Below are 17,796 nucleotides of genomic sequence, written 5' to 3'. Positions count from 1 at the left end.
CAGGATCCTGGAAGTAGCCGACCTTGAAATCATCTGGTCCAGTGGCTTCCGGACCATGGCTGGCCAGCCCGTCAAGATTTCTGCTGCAGCTGCCTGCAACATGAGCTTTACTTGATAGTCTTTCTTTATATTAAATTCCTCTTTTTCTTACGCTTATTTTTAAAAGGGATTTTTAAAGTCATTCCCATAAATGGAAAATCAGCTTCACTGGTCTTTGGTAGAAGGCAAATGCAGGGAATAACTAAAATAAAACAATTATTATTATGCCCAGACACTGAGACCAGCTAAAGGCTCTGATTTAGGTCTTTTTTTTTTTTCTCTTTGTTGCAAAGAGAGTTTACGCAATGTTAAGAGTGTTAAGAACATACCTGCACCAGCCAGAGACTTCCCTGAGAAGGAAGAGGGAAGACTGAAAGAAAACATATTGTGATTCAGTGCTTTGTCATGTCCTTGTTACTTGAAAGCATCAGCCCGGAGGAAGGGTCCCAACTTCTTCCCTTCAAGCAGAGCCTTCTAAGAAAGAGAATCTCTGTTCTTTCCTGGGGGGAAGATGCTCCCACAGGTTTTGGAAGCAGGCTACTTTTACTGTCAGGAAGTTTTTGCCACTCCAAACGCCTATCCCAGCATTGTAAATCCCTTTCTTACCAGCCTGTTCTCCATGGACCCGTGGATCTTAACATATGCAGCTAACCCTCTGTTTAGATTTGTTTTCTCTTTAGCAGTCATGGATACTTTCCCTAATGGCTGTGAATGACTTTCTTCAGAAGTGCAACTGTCTCTAGACTAAAATTAAAAGAGAATTTCATACCTCGTACAAAAATCATTGCCTTTCTGGGACTTCAAGCTTCTTCCTGGGCTGTGTTATCCCACTGTGAATCTCAGACCACAGCGTAATCATGTGCAAACATTTACATAACACTTTTAATCTCCAAGTACTTCACCAAATGTGGGTGATAATAATAGCTTTTATACGGAGTGTACCTCCAAAGGGTTCCGGGTGCTTTGATAATTAATGAAATGTTTTTCCCTTTAGAAAGTTAGCAAGAGAGTAGCAAAAGATTATAATGAAATAGTGTCCGCAACTATAATGACATCATCCTCATCCTTAGCCCACGGCACCAGGGAGATTCAGGTCTGGGGAAGGGAGGGAAATGAGTTCTTAACACTTAGAGTTCAGGGTTAATGGAGGAAAAGGGTGGGATTTGGCTTTTGGCCAAAGGACAAAAGGACAAACCCATTTTTGTAAATTATGAAATACCATTTTAAAGCAGCTGTCTTTTCAAAAACTTTTTAAAGGTAGTCAGTAGAATGTTCCTTCAAATAAAATCTTGTACCAAGCCCAAGTACAGAAACAGATACAGTAGTAGCTGAAGTGTATTACTAGGTACTAGGAACGGTTCTAATTTCATTAGGTGTGTTGATTCATTCACTCCTCATAACCAACTTGTTTATGAGGTAAGTTATGAGTTGTACTCCCCATTTGTTAATGCAAATGAAGACATTTGGGTGTGGAGAAATTAAGGAACTGGTCTGAGCTCTCAGGGCACTGAACTTAGAAGCGATGCCTGTGGACCTGGCGAGTAACCGCCACACAGCACTTCTTCCATCTGCTTGGGGGCTTTTCAAAAGGGATTTTTAAAGTCATTTCCATAAACGGAAAATCAGCTTCAGTGGTCTTTGGTAGAAGGCAACTGCGGGGAACAACTAAAATATAACAATTATTGTTACGCCCAGACACTGGGGTGGGGATGGGGTTGGGGTTAGGATCAGGATAGGGATGGGTAAGAGGAATCCCTGAGTCTCACCGATTCACTCCTAAGACCCTATAGAGAAACCCTAGAGTTTAGGAGGATAACGTTTGAAACCCACTTCCCAAAAGTATTTAGAGAGGAAGGAGAGAAATTATCTTTTAAAGGATGCATTGAGTCCAAGAAGGGCAGAATATTTTGCCTTTTTCTTAATTTCAAAGTCCAAGTGTGTGTGTGTTTATGTTTACATATACTGGAAATTAATTCCATGCTATCACATACTGCAAATTTCTTTTTCCTTTTCCCTAAGTATTTCATTCCTGATTTCAATGGATCACACCTAATGGATCTGTTTCCTACTAAGAAATAGGCCATCAAGACAATTAATTCATCTTCAACAATGAGGGTGCTTCCTAAACACAAACAAACAGAAATGTTGCCTTGTTCAAAACTGGGCCAACTATTTATCTGTAACACAGAAAGGCAACAGTAAATTTTCTATTTATAAAAATGAGTTAGGTTCAGCCTTAATAAACTTCAGCCCCAAATTAGTTTTCCGTCATGTCACTCTATAAATTGTAAGAGTTCATTCTCTTTGTCTTCTTTTTCACAATTTTGATACATTTACCCCTTTACATAAAAAAAAAATTTTTTTTGGCATTCATAATGATTCTTAAAGAGTCACCTCTCCTGAGAGTTCCCTGTTAAAAAAAAAAAAAAAAAAGTTGAATCCATATAATGCAACATTCGTGATTGTCCTGATAGTACCAGCAACAAGTCTCGTCACTTTCCTTTTCATAGAGCTAACATTTCTGTGATCTCCCTCCCCCTTCCTTTGGTTTCTTCGGTGGAGAAGCCAAAACCACAACCCAATTCCAAACAAAAATAAAGCCCACTGTTTGTACCTCCTCCATCCAAGCAAACCCAACCCTCTGAGCCTGTGGTTTCCGCAAGTACTGGGGTTAGAGTCATGAGGGAAGTGTGGGAAAATGTGGAGTGTCAGTCAAGAGGCAACACTAGGAGGCAAGGAATCTGCATTTCTTTCAGACCTTGGCAGAGAGCGCCCTGGGAAATGCGGATATAGAAGGTCAGGAGAACATCTCTCCTGGTTATACAGCATTCCAGGTGGGCTTTCATGTGGTTGAGGATAATATCATTAGCACCAAAGGTGAAAATCCGTGGAAGCTCATCTTATTTCAGCAGAAGAGTAGGATGGGCCTTGTGGCACGAGTAAGCCAAACAAGGGAAAGGCATTCACCATCAATTGTAAGTAAAGCCAACCATTTAATAAGGCTCCGGAAAGACAGGTGTGGTGTCTTAGTAAGTTGCTGCCCCACAAAATGTCTAATTTCCTGATAGGGGCTTTAAAAAAAAAACTGGTTTGTTACGAAAGAAATACAAAATTTTCTTTGTCATTTTTTCATTCGTCTTTCTTTGGGTGTCTCCATTTCTTATAAACTGCAGTTTTCTTCCTAAGGATCTGATTATCCTAAACATTTTTTGTTTTTGTTATTGTTTTGGAGCGGCTTGCTTTAAACTTATTTATTCCTAATTCTGTTACTTCCTGGTTTAAATTCTTTCCCTTTCTGGTTATCCTAGTTTTTTTTCTCTTCTTATTTTTGCCGGCTCTTGCCTTCTTCTCAGGTGAGTAAGCTCTCTCTCTCCTCTTAAGAAGGTGAAATGACTAATTGGAAATTCATTCTCCTGCTGCAGAAGATTTCCCGATCTTGTTAACGTGCCAAAATTTTAAGGTTGGCAGATGGAGCGAGCTAAAAAACCCCAGCACTTGCTCTGGACCCTGGAAATAGGACCCAGCTTTCCATGCTTTTCATAGCAAACCACGGCGTGGCAACAATGATAGTCAAGGGTTCCAAGATAAAATACAGCACACCCCGTGTGCATCAGATTTCAGAGAAACGACAAATAATTTTTTAGTATAAGTATGGCCCTAACCATTGCATGGGATATACTTATACCAAAAAAAACAAAAAAAAGAAAACATTGTCTTTTTATCTGAAATTCAACTTTGGGTTCCTCTGTTTTTATTTTCTAAATCTGGCAACCCTCTGCTAAATGGACTTTTAAATAAAAATTACCAGCATCACTGTGGTGATTATTTTTTATTTATGGAGGTTGGTAATGGTACCTCTGACGTTATTGACTAGGCATCAAAATAAATTTATTTGTTCTTCAAGCTTTATATTGTTTTAGTTGTTAAAAGCCAAACATAAAAAGGCCCTTTGGAGGTTGCTTTTTGAACAAAGCAGTGATAGGATCAAAATATGCCTATTTCTTCAAATATGGAAAATTAGGGAATTCCATACGGTCTTCTCGTCCTAAGATTGGCTAGTTGAACGCATTTTTAAGTGTTGGTAATATTGATGTGTTGAGAAGCATTGAAACTGATGTTTTGTAAAACATGGGGGCATGTCTGTATTATATTTATTTTATGCACAGTGACTTGGCAGTTAATGTAGCGGCTATGTTTTCTTATTTTGTTTGTTTGTTTGTTTTTCCCAAGCATCAGCTCCCACTGTAAAAAATCTGCACCTGAATAGTTAGCCATTAATCTTGAGTTACATAAAATGTGTTTTGTACATATCCTCACTTTAATGATGTCTATAGAGACAAACTTTCAAAGATGGCTTTTTTCTTTCTCTTTTTTAGATAAATGAATGTAACTTTAATGGGATTTCAAGTGCTTTCATGTTTTGCTCACAAAACCTGGTACAATGAAAAGTCTATGAACAAAGATATGTGTTTTGGTCCTTCATCGATGACTTAGGAATTGCTATTATGGGACATTTGATAAGCTAAAAAAGAAAAAATTCTGAAGGGCCTCTAAAGAGACAGCTACAAAACCTGCTACATATATGCAAAAGACCCAGTGCATTATTTGGGGTCCACGTATGTGTCTGACATTTTCTGCTGGTTCTAAGGCTCTCCTAACAATTGGGAAGGAATGCTTTTTTCATTTGGAATCTTGGTCAGCTGAACAGGAGGGTAAAACGGATTAAAGCCAGGGGAAGGGGAATGTTGGATCTCTGCCAGGCATATTTTAAAGTGAGAAAGGAAGAGAGGAAGGAGACTCACACCCAGCCAGCTGCTTTTCATACCATTCAAAGGAATCACAGACCAAATTTGGTACATACAGTAGGGGGGAAAAAAGAGCTTTAACTCCTATACTGCCATGGGAGATGAGATTTTCAAAGCTGTGTCATGTTCTTCTTTTAATTTCCAGTCGGCCTTTGTTAGCACACAGGGCTCACACCCACAGGGACAAAGGAATACCCAAAGGAAAAATCTGTGGCTCAGATAGTCTCCATATCATAGACCAGGGAATCACACCTGAAACATTGATCTTACAGTCTTTTTTGGTTTTGTTTTTCTTTGAATGGCAGCTTTAGATTGTTCTGGTTTTTGTGTGCTTACAAACAGGACTCCTCATCTGTTTTTAAGAGGGAAATCTGAGTTTTCAAGGAAAGCCGAATACAGTTGCCAAGTTGCCAGTCAAAGAAACAATGTCAACACCTGCTCATAGAGATGGAATTCCTAACCCGGAATATTGCCCTTGAATTACAACGAGAAAAAGGTAGGCCTTCCATTATTACCCACTCCCCACTCCCCCACAAAAACTCCAGCAGACCTAAGTAAAGTTAGAATGTACCACAGATTCACTTGAAGACAGATCTAAAAACTAACTTGTTAATGTAATTCAAGGTGGTAACCACTGCACACAAATATTGATTGATTATTGATTGATTACAGAAAGCATTTGTTGAGCAATCAAATGATCCGTTTAGCATGTCAAAACATTTTCCGATTTGGCTACTAGGTAAGGCAGTACTTCCCACTGTGGTGAGGAACCTCTCTCCCTCCCTCCCTTTCCTCCTTCCTCCCTCCTTCCTTCCTTCCTCCCTCTCTCCCTCCTTCCTTCCTCCCTGTCTCCCTCCTTCCTTCTCCCTTCCTTCTCTTTTCCTTCTCCCTTCGATTCCCTTCCTCCTTCTCTCCTTCCTTCTTTCCTTCAAAGTTTTTGATTCATTGTAGACCAGTACTTTTGTTAAATACAAATAAAATCAAGCTATTAGAAAAACAATACAAACCCCGTTAAGAAAAATATTGGATTAAAAGCCATAAAATTACTCCGTCAAATTGCTATGCATTTCCAAATTCTTACTCCTAAGAATTGTCATAAACTGTAATAAACAATCCACAGACCAGTGCTGGTCCACTTTCGATACCCTGGGGAGCCGTGATAAAACGTATTCCCCAACGATAAGAAAACAATTCACAGAGACTTTTAAAGAATTATTTTAGAATCTATACTGAACTAGAAGCTTTATAATCTAAGATGAATAGAAACTATATCCATTTACACTATTGATGAAAAGAAAAAAATACACTAAACTATTCTAGTAAAAAATGAAAAGTTTACCTCAATGATCTCAGTAGTCACCTGATGCCAAACATTTCTAAAGTCATAATTTAATGAGAAATTTAAAAATCATTTGTAATTACATGAATGATTTAAAAGTTGGGACATGGGCCCATTGAAAATACATCTTTGTTTACTGGCAAAGTTGGAAATTGGTAGCTGTACCCCGGCTCCAACTGGTTTCTTGAATCCCTATTTTTTTTTTTTTTTGCCACATTAAAGAGAGGAAAACAAAGCTCACCTGCTAGTTTACCACACTCAATCTATAAAAATCTCAATGACTTCCCCCAGAAAGCTATGTAGACTATAAAATATTTCAGTGTTTCTAACATAATTTCTGCTATTGTACATCAACATTTTTTTAGATCACTAAACAATTGAGACAGAGTTGTAAGTAGAAAGATCTGAAATGAAAATAGAGAATTTTATTGAATGAATACATAAAATTTAGTATGTATCAAGGAGAGTTCTAAAGACTTACAAAAACTAGCCCACTAAATACTCATAACAATCTCTGAGGTATGCTCTATTTTAATCTTCATTTTATAGGTGAGGAAACTAAGCACAGAGAGGGTAAATGATGATTGTAGTTTGTGGGTGACAGAGGCCAAATTTGAAGCCAGGTGATCTAGCTTGAGAGTCCTACTGAATTCCTTACAGAAAGGGCATCTTCTAACTGACAATCAGAAAGAAGGATAAATAAAGCATCTTTAGAATCATACGGATCATTCAATTGGATGATTGAATGAACACTGTGATTTAAATAAATATTTTCCATGAACATATTTAATTCATAGAACATGGTAGAAGGCAGAAGCCATAGGTTTAACCTTAGATCACTGAAGATTCATTGGTAATCCTTTCACCATTCACCCCTCCTTTTAAAAACCAAATCTGTGTCCTTTGAGCAAGACAGCTATAGTAATATCATGACCACTTGCTTGCCGTAATATCTTTCTTTGTAAACATCTATCCCTAATTTGTCCTTTATAAAGGAAAATAATTCCCACGTTAGTTCTCATGTATGTATCATGTATTATACTCTATCAGAATTTATAAAAGGACCAATGGTTTTTCAGGTGTAGGCAACAGAAACTATGCAAGCATTTCCAGAATCCAGAGAAGGATTAGTATTGTCATATATAAATCAAAGCCTACATACATATAAGTACTATTATGAGGGAGACATTCCCAAGGGGTAAAGGACAGAGCTGGACAACAATAATTATAGTAGGGTTCTGTTAGCACAAACGTTAACAAATACATAACGGGAATATAAAAACTTGAATATAAAATATATTCTTGAATATAAAAACTAATAGACGATTTTAAAAAACCCTAACAGAGAAATTGGAATAATTACTCAACTAATGTCATATGAAATATTACAAGAACGCTGTGGAGGTAAAAAGATTAGATTTTCAATTCATATTCAAAACCAAAATAAATAACAGACAGAAAAGTTAAATATACAAAGTGAAGCCATAGAAAATTAGAGAAAAACATAAGGAAGGCAAATTTTTGTCTTGATAATTTCATTTCTTGCTTTTATGTGAAAGCATTTATAAAGAACAATTTTAAATAAAATGCAATTAAAATATAAAGAAAAGTTCATGTTTGAGTTCATAAAAATCCGTTTATCAAAAACATCATATATAACAGTAAAAATGAAAGACAAATTAAGAAATATATATGGATCTATTAAAGAGCAAAACCCTGTGGATACAATAATAGATAGTATGTATGCAAAATCCCAAACCAGAAAATGTATGGAGGAAGAAATTCAAATGAAACAATGCATATAAAAACTATCTCTGTAAGAATCAAGAAATATAAGTAAAAACAAAATGCAATATAGCATTTTACCCATCAAATTTGTAAACACCTTTAATTGATTATATGTAATGATACAATGAGGTACAATGAAATAGGCCCACTCATATATGGCTGGTGAGTGTTTCAATTGCTGTCCAGAAAGCAATTTGGTAGCATGTATCAAAAACTAAAAACAATGTTATATTTGACACAGGATTTTTATTTCTAAAAGTTTTCTTCTTAAAGGTTTATGTGCAGGATATTCGTAGTAGTATTAATTATATTAATAAGCTATCAGAGGCAACTTAGTATCTAATAATTTAATGTGGGTTAAATATATATGCATATGACATATCTATAAAACTGGATATTATGAAACAATCAAAAACATGTTTTGGTGGAATGACTTTGAAAGACTTTCAGAATGAAATAACTGATCAAAAGTCACAAAATGTTACATAGAATGTGATATCAGTATTTTGTATTGCTACCAGGACTGCAAACTCAACTGCCCATAGTCCCCAGAGAGGAACCATAGAGGTACTGTGGACAGGGAAGTTGTCTATTAAAATGCAACAGGATTTTTTTTCTCTTGCTTTTCTAGAAACATTCAGCTTTCTTGGTCTAGCTTTCTCTTTTGCAATCATCTTTCCTCCCGACAACACCCGTATTTCTTTCCTCTTACTCTAATTGAAGACCAGCCACAGGAAAATCTCTAGGGTAAGACAGCATAATAACTGGCAAGACAACTCAGTAGCAACAAAGGGCAAGCAGGGGTGGGTGTGGCAAGCAGGAGAGAGGAGCTCTCCGAAGATAGGGGCCCTAACCCAGCTCCAATCTTTCCATGCCACTGTAGACTGCAGCCCAGACAAAAACGCATTGAGGTGCTTCCAGTTTTTGACTTCCAACATTCATACTTATATGTGCAAATGGAAAAAAATACTGGAAAGAGGCTGGGCAGGGTGGCTCATGCCTGTAATCCTAGCATTTTGGGAGGTTAAGGCGGGCAGATCACCTGAGGTCAGGAGTTCGAGATCAGCCTGGCCAATGTGGCGAAACCCCATCTGTACTAAAAATACAAAGATTAGCCATGCCTGGTGGCACACGCCTGTGATCCCAGCTACTTGGGAGGGAGAGGCAGGAGAATCGCTTGAATCTGGGAGGTGGAGGTTGCAGTGAGCCAGGACTGCACCACTGCACTCCAGCCTGGGTGACAGAGCGAGACTCCATCTCAAAAAAAAAAAAAAAAAAAAAAAAAAAGATGGAAAGAAATATACAAAAGTAATACAATTATTGGTACAATTTCAATCATTTAATTTTATTTTCTTCATACCTTTCCTTATTTACTAAGTTATTTCCATATATTTCTTTCTATAATCAGAAAACCAGGACCATTCTCATATTATTCTATTTAGTCACCCTTTTAGGGGGTACAAAGTAGTTTTAGAAAAAAAAAGGTCCTATTTTGAAGTTTGCCTCTGACCTTCTATTTTGAAATATATCCATACAGCTACATTCTTATAGACTGTTGTTATTTGTACAAACATTTCTTACTGGTCTGAAGCTTCTTTGAAAAGCAGGGCTTCAAAAATTTGTCTAATTTTTCTCCCTTATGGCTTGCACTAATCATTTTTGGCCTCATTTTCAGCAAATCATATCTAATGTCCTCAAGTATTTCTAGGTGATGTTAAGCAATTTTCTAATCTAGTGGTAGAGTCTATTGGTGATATGATTTTGACAGTTCACTGGCCAAAGTGTCTTTTATTATAGAAAATATTAGGACATCCCATAATGATTTGAACCGGCATGGCTTTGGAAGCAGAAAAGAAGGCTTTAAGGTTTAAGCTAGCACTGCCATGCCATCTCTGGGACACATGCTTCTCTGGATAGTCACCTTATAAATGGGGATTAAAAAAAGAAAGGGGAATATAGAATGCAGCCAACCAGTGCAGTACTCGATCTAGGAAAAAAGAATGTAGCAAGCTCAGCTGATTGAGGGTAATGATAAAATAACTGGGAAAAACTACAGAGCCCTGACTTTACGTAGGGACAAAGAATACTTTTCACAAAGCTCAAACGAATTAATTACAGAATCACTGCTGTATATGAACAATAATCTTTATATACCTCTGCCTTCGGGTGTCTTCTGTTTAAAAGCTAAGGCTTCCTGAGAAACAAGCTTGTTTGACCATTTCTCTCCTGTTTATAAAGTTTGCGTTTTATGAAAATTGGGAAACCGGAGAGAAAAAGCTTGAGTTCACTTTTAACCAGCTGTTGTTTTTTTCTAATTTCTCTGTTTTACTCTAAGTATGTTCTGTTTTTAAAAGTATTAAATGAAAAGCAAAAATGAAAATTGTTGATAGCATAAAAACAACTGTATCCTAGCTATTAGGCCAGCATTACTGGACTAGAAACCATTATAATTCATTTGCAAAAAAAGGCTTGATATAACATTTAAATAAGAATTTGTGTGTGTGTGTGTGTGTGACATCAAACCTTAAGGGCTTTCTTCCCACTGAAGCATTAAAAAGTGAGAATTCTGATTTCTGGTTGACAATGTTTCAATGAATATGTCACTTTATAATTACAAATGCAAGGGAGGAACTTTTTATAACTGAATATTTAACACATATTAAAGTTCTAACACACGCCACATAATTTTTGTCTGAGATTGTCCATGAAGTGGGTATCTCAAATCATTCACTTGAAAACTGAAAATAATTTTCTGAGATGAGTTCACTATGAAAACAGGGATATGACCAGCTGCCCTGTAGCTTTTCCTTCCCTGCACTCCTGTGTGTGTGTGTGTGTGTGTCTACGTGTGTGTGTTTTAATAACATAATCCTTATAGGCAAATAAAGATCAAAAGGAGTAGATGGTAAATATTTCCTGTAGAGGCAGGAGGTAGAGAATGGTTAAATTCACTGTCTTTCAGATTTTCACTTTGCTTAATTCTAGAACACTTCTTATTCCTGTAGCACCTCTTCAAGTGAGATGGCAGACCACCTCAGGATGGAAATGTATTTCTTCATCCCCCTCTCTACTTCCCTGTGACCTCCTGCAAATAAGGTGAGGCTGTTTATTTTCTCACTTGATTTCCATTCTTTGAGTTGAATCACAGATTGCAGCAAACTTGTAATAGCAGATTGAGAAATATAGAACTATTTCAAGGGTTTGTGGTTTATAACTTCCTTTTAAAAGAATTAACCCTTTCTAGGAATTTTTTTTTTTTTTTCAAATGGATCACAAGGTGTGACGCAAGATTTCTCATCATCCTGATCTGTATTATGGTTGGCTTATTGGGTGCCTTCCTGATGTGGTAGTCCAGGGTCATTTTTTATTCCCTCTTGTAAATACCCAAGACCAGAAATCTATAGGTATAGTGAGTCCAAAGGAGATTTCTCTTCATGATAACCCTTAACATGGGCATTATCTCATGTAATGCTACAGAAGCACGATGAGGCATGTATTGTCCCTGTGTCACTGAGGAAATGAAAACATAGCCAAAGTAGCCCTGCCGGTAGACAGTGGCGCAATTGTGAGCAATTCCAGCTCCTGTGTGGCTGACCCCGGAGCCAGTGCTTTACCAGAGATTTTCCACCTTGGCCTAGACCTTTTGTTTTATTTATTTATTTTTCCAATTTTGGAGGTTCCACTTGCAGAAAACATTTTTTTTAAATTAGTTTTTTTCTAATTGACAAATAAAAATGATATATATTTATGATATACAACCTGACATTTTGATATATGTATGCATTGTGGAATGGCTAAATCAAGCCCATTAGCATATCTAATACCTCACATACTTTGCATTCTTTTGTGGTGAGAACACTTAAATTCTACACTCTCAGCAATTTTCAAGTGTAAAATACATTGAATACATTTACTATATAGTCACCATGTTGTGCAATGGACCTCTTGAACTTCTTTCTCCTAACTGAAGTTTTGTATCCTTTGACCAACTTCTCTCCAATTTCTTCCCCCATCCCTCCCATGCTCTAGTAACCACCCTTCTTCTACTCTCTGCTTCTAAGAGATATTTTTTTGTGGATTCCACATATAAGGGAGACCATGCAGTGTTTGTTTTTCTGTGCCTGGCTTACTTCACTTAACATAATGTCCTCCAGGTTCATCCATGTTGTCACAAATAACAGGATCTCCTTCTTTTTTTAAGGTTAAATAGTATTTCCTGTATATATATATCACATTTTAAAAATCCATTTATCTGTTGTTTGACACTGAGGTTGACTCCGTATCTTGGCTATTGTGAATTGAGCTGAAATGAACATGGGAGAGCAGATATCTCTTCAACATATTGATTTTATTTCCTTTGGATATATAGCCAGTAGTGTGATTGCTAGATCATATCATAATTCTGTCTGGGCTGGGAACTTTTAAAATCCCAATGTCCATGGCACACTCCAGATGATATTGAGATAGAATCTCAGAAGCTGGCACCCAGGTGTCAGTATTATTTAAAACTTCCAGGTGATGCTGATGTAAAGGGTGGGTTCGGTGCCACTGCATTACATGGATCCCTGATTGATCACCATGAAGAATCAAGGTGAGGATTGGCTGTAACTCAAACTTGAGTGAAATGCATATGGAATTTTATGCATATTCATCTTATATTTGACAGTAATCTTTCATAATGCAAATTTAATGGAACTTGACTTGAAAAAGGTAAAACTATATAATTAAGCACTTTCAACTGTAGTGTTTTCTATTGTAACTGAACACTTTGGTTGTAGATATTCATGGATCCAAGCCTACCTATGTGAAGTCTGGTTGTAGAGGTGAGGCCATGTGGAAGGCAGTTTGCAAACTCTATCAGCCACCTGTACAGGTGATGATATGGACAGGAGACAGGGACATACTAGGTAGGAGAAGGCAGTTACCCAGCAAGGGCCCCACCCTCAAAACAGAAATCCTGTGGCCCTAAATGGGAACAGGTATTCCTGTTTTTGTGCCCAAAAGTTGCCTTTTGCCCCATCACACCTCCCTATCCTGTACCCACATAAACCCCAAACTGCTGGCTCCACAGGGAGAGACAAAGAGAAGAGCAGAAGAACAGAAGAATGGAGTGGCAAAGAGAAGAGAAGGAGTGACTGAACATTGACAAGACTTTGGTTGGGGATGGTCAGAGAGGAGATTAGCTGCTAGACGGCCACACTGCGGAGAAAGATCATTTTCCCACTCCATCCCCCTTCCAGCTCCCCATCCATCTCACCAAGAGCCAGCTCCACCACTCAATAAAACCTTACATTCATCTTTCAAGTCTGTGTGTGACCTGATTCTTCCTGGATGCTGGACAAGGACTTGGGTATCAAGAGGGCACTGAGCTGGTTAACACTTAAGCTGTTCATGGACAACAAGGCTAGCACTGTAACACGCTGACTGGGGCTTTGGGAGTCATGGACACCCACCCCTAGATGCTGCCATGGGGCTGGAACCCAGGGGTGCTCATCCCAGCTCCTACACCTGCCCATCTGTGTGCTCCCCAGCCTGTAAGGAGTTTAAGCACACAGCACCAGAATAAATGAGGCATATCCCTGTTGCTCATCCTGCAAGGGGGTTCAGGGAACTCTCCCATTTCAGTGAGATGGGTTGAAATGTGTTTAGTTGAATATCTGGAGCCATCTAAACCTCAGAAATAAAACCCCAGTTGACTCAAAGTCAGCAAGTTGGAGGTCATGACCTTCAGTTCTTTATTTATTTTTTTTTTTTGGGAAGGAGTCTTGCTCTGCCACCAGGCTAGAGTGCAGTGGCACGATCTTGGCTCACTGCAAGCTCTGCCTCCCAGGTTTAAGCAATTCTCCTGCCTCAGCCTCCCAAGTAGCTGGGACTACAGGTGTGTACCACCACGCCCAGCTACTTTTTTTTTGTATTTTTAGTAGAGACAAGGTTTCACCATGTTGCCAGGATGGTCTCAATCTCTTGATGCCGTGATCTGCCCGCCTTGGCCTCCCAAAGTGCTGGGATTATAGGCATGAGCCACTGTGCCCAGCCCCATGACATGCAGTTCTGATTTTGTTTGAGAGCACTCCTGCTTGGAGACTGAAGATTGTTGCTTAGAACTTCAACTGCAGAGCATTCAGTTCTTCTGGAAATAATACTGCATTCATTTCCTGGGGTCACTGTCACAAAGTCTCACAAACTGAGTGTCTTGAAAACAGAATTTTATTGTCTCATACTTCTGGAGGCTGGAAGTCTAAGATCATGGTGTCGGTACTGGCAGGGTTGGTTCCTTCTGAGGCTGTGAGAGAGAATCTGTTCTGCCACTCTCTGAGCTTCTGGTAGCCTCAGGCATCCCTTGGTTTGTAGATGGCCATCTCCTCTGTGGGTTCTCCCTCTGTACTTTCCCTCTGTATCTTCCTGTCCCTGTACCTGTCTCTGTGTTCAAAGTCTCCCTTTTGCTAAGGACACAGTCATACCGGATTAGGGCTCTCCCTAATGACCTCAACTTGTGCATCTGCAAAGACTTTATTTCAAGTAAGGTCACAGTCACAGATACTGTGAATTAGGACTTCAATATCATCTTGGGGGACTCATTTCAGCCCATAACAAATCTTTTCTGCCACCCGAAAGAAGTCAGGACTAACCAGAAAGAGTGAAAACCCTTCACAAGAGGAAATTTCTTAATGTTTCTGAAAAAAGAGATACATCCTACCTTAAACCTATATAGGATTTTACAGACTATAAAACATATTCATGATCTTCATAGTAACCCTTCAAATCTACTAAATACATTTATAGTCAGAACGTTTAATTAAACACTTTGAGGTCACATTCACAAGGGAGGGTCTACGGCTGAACTTTAGTCATACAATCCCATTCATGTTTACTGCTCTCCCCAAATAAATGAGCAGTCCAGTCTGACTCATCACAGACCAGGGGGCACGATGGCTGAGAAACCGCAGACTAACCTAGCTGACATCACAAAGAACCTGAAAGGTCTGGTCACAAGAGAGCAAAGGAAGGTGAATAAATCCTCCTTCAGAAAGTGGCGCATTCAGGATGAGATGCTGAGGAAGAAAGGAAAACACAGTGCTACCACTTGGTGAGCTTCCCATAAAGATTGTTTACTGGCAAGGGGGGAAGGACACTGTGATGGTTGATTTTGTGTTAACTAGACTGGGCTATGAGGTGCCCAGATTAAACATTGTTTTGGGTACATTTGTGAGGGTGTTTCCAGATGAGCTTAGCATTTGAATCAGTGAACTTGAAAGCAGATGGCCCTCCCCAATGTAGATGGGCATCATCTAGTCCACTGAAGGCCCGACTAGAACAGAAAGGCAGAGGAAGGAGGAATTTGCCCCCTTTCTTTCTGCCTCACTGATTGAGCTGGGACATCTCATCTCTTCTTCTCCTGCCACACACTGCGATTTATACGAACAGCTCTCCCAGGTTCTCTGTCCTCGAACTGAATTTAGCTTTCCTCAAAACCACTAGCTTTCCTGGGTTGCCAGTTCACTGCTGGCAGATCTTGGGACTTTTCTGTCTTTATAATAGCATGAACCAATTTCTCATAATAAATTTCTTCCTATATACAGTTGTCCCTTGGGATCCACAGGGGATTAGTTCCAGGACCCCCATGAATACCAAAATTGGAGGATGCTGAAATTCCTTCCGTAAAATGGCATAATATTTTCATATAAGTTATGTAATCCTCCCTTATACTTTAAATCATCTCTCAATTACTTAAAATACCGAATAAAATGTAAATGCTGTGTAAATAGTTGTTATACTGTATTGCTTTTTAAATTTGTATTATTTTTATTGCCATATTATTACCTTTTATTTTAATCATTTTAGTATGTTTTTGATTCACGGTTGGTTGAATCCACAGTTGTAGTATGGATACAGGGAGGTGACTGTATACAGGCATGTGCCACTTAACAATGGGGATATGTTCTGAGAAGTGTGTCTGTAGGTGATTTTGTCATTGTGGGACCAGCGTAGAGTGTACTTACACAAACCTAGATGGTAGAGCCTAATACACACCTAGGCTACTGATGTGATTTGGTTGTGTCCCCACCCAAATCTCATCTTGAACTGTAGTTCCCATAATCCCCATGTGTCATGGGAGGGGCCTAGTGGGAGGTAACTGAATCATGGAGGCAGGTTTTTCTTGTGCTGTTCTCATGATAGTGAATAAGTCTCATGAGATCTGATGGTCTTATAAAGGGCAGTTCCCCTGCACACACATTCCAGCCTGCCTCCGTGTAAGACGTGCCTTTGCTCCTCCTTCACCTTCTGCCATAGATTGTGAGGCCTCCCCAGCCATGTGGAACTGTGAGTCCATTAAACCTCCTTTCCTTTATAAATTAACCAGTCTTCTGTATGTCTTTATTTGCAGCATGAGAACAGACTAACACAGCTACCAACCTGTATAGCATGTTACTGTACCAAATACTATAGGCAAATGTAACACAATGCTAAGTATTTGTGTATCTAAATGTATTTAAACATAAAAAAGGTAAAAATATGGCATTATAATCTGCTGGGGCCACTCATATATGTGGTCTGTTGTTGACCAAAATGCCATTATGTGGTGCAAGACTGTATGTACTATTTGTTCTCTTTCAGTGAAGATCACTGATTAATACAGACACTGAAGACTACCTTTTTTTTGGTAAGTGGGTTCATTTTCACAACGTGCTTTCTTTGTGGAATTATTTGCTTTCTGAGCATTTCTGTGATGACTCAAAAAGAGTAGAATGTTTTATCAATGAGGCATGTTGCTTTTTGAAACCTGCTGAGCCCCAAGTGAAGTAGTTGCTCAGTCTGTAGTAACCCCAACTTAATACTCATTGGCATGTTAATTAGAGTTGTGCTGATGAGTGGGATTCTAGACAATGATGTCAAATACAAACCCCTGCAAATACCACAGGCTGGGATTATATAAGCCCCTTGGCTTAAGTGTTTCCCTGTTTGCCGGGCGCAGTGGCTCATGCCTGTAATCCCAGCACTTTGGGAAGCCAAAGCAGGTGGATGGCAAGGTCAAGAGATGGAGACCATCCTGGCCAACATGGTGAAACCCTGTCTCTATTAAAAATACAAAAATTAGCTGGGCACGGTAGCAGGCGCCTGTAATCCCAGCTACTTGGGAGGCTGAGGCAGGAGAATCGCTTGAACCCAGGAGGCAGAGGTTGCAGTGAGCTGAGATAGTGCCACTGCACTCCAGCCAGGCAACAGAGCGAGACTCCATCTCAAAACAAACAAACAAACAAACAAACAAACAAACAAACAAACAAACGTTTCCCTCTGTTATCACTGTCACAGATTAGGATGGAAAGAGGTCTCTTGAATTTACCAGGATATACTGCTAATCTGGCAACACCAAGAAGCACTGAGCACCTATCTTCTTTAAAATGCCTAGGGTAAGTGCCTCCAGGAATCATTAATTCTTATTCTTGCCAGATAGTCATATGCACAGAATTAGGGGAGATTGGGAAGCTCTATAAAATGGTTAGTTGGCTCTGACTCCATATTAAAACAACACAAAACAACCAGAGAATTTGAATAACATCAGATGTCCAAGTTCATGATTGAAAATGTACTTTTTTCAAAGAAAGTGTGGACTATTCCTCTTAGGAAAAACAAAATAACACAAAAACACAAAACATTCTACTGTCAGAAATATCAGAACTTAAAGTGAACAAAAAAGTTATTAGAACCCACTAGTCCATCTCTCCCTTTCCATGTTACCCGCAAAACATCCCTAACCTCCCATCACCTTGAACTCCCAGTCCCACCCAAACCTTTCTGCAGTGATCCATCCACTGATCTGATATG

The 17,796-nt window shown here is 38.8% G+C and overlaps 1 protein-coding gene and 1 pseudogene across 17 annotated transcripts in view; one reads left to right on the top strand and one right to left on the bottom strand.

Moving 5' to 3' along the window:
• The window catches only part of CELF2 (CUGBP Elav-like family member 2), an 874,126-nt gene that overhangs the window by 538,964 nt on the left and 317,366 nt on the right, over positions 1-17,796 (bottom strand). For 6 of the 16 annotated variants that reach the window (XM_047424484.1, XM_047424482.1, XM_047424483.1 and 3 more), the window contains exon 1: positions 809-873. The exons of 9 other annotated variants lie outside the window; for them this stretch is intronic. Coding sequence is in view for 3 of the 7 variants with exons in the window: in XM_047424482.1 (XP_047280438.1) it covers positions 809-824 (16 nt within the window). In the remaining 4 variants the exon portion in view is untranslated. Of the gene's footprint in view, positions 1-368; positions 410-808; positions 874-17,796 lie in introns of those variants that run through there. One more of the 16 variants, XM_047424485.1, reaches the window with a different exon arrangement.
• On the top strand, positions 2,798-13,273 carry SFTA1P (surfactant associated 1, lncRNA; annotated as a pseudogene). Its single transcript, NR_027082.1, has 4 exons — positions 2,798-3,014; positions 5,187-5,340; positions 10,977-11,067; positions 13,043-13,273. The product of NR_027082.1 is annotated as a surfactant associated 1, lncRNA (transcript).

Source organism: Homo sapiens, chromosome 10, assembly GCF_000001405.40.
Source record: "Homo sapiens chromosome 10, GRCh38.p14 Primary Assembly".
Taxonomy (NCBI): Eukaryota; Metazoa; Chordata; class Mammalia; order Primates; family Hominidae; genus Homo; species Homo sapiens.
The sequence above is the reverse complement of the archived record's forward strand: the minus strand, read 5'-3'. Positions and strand labels throughout refer to the sequence as shown.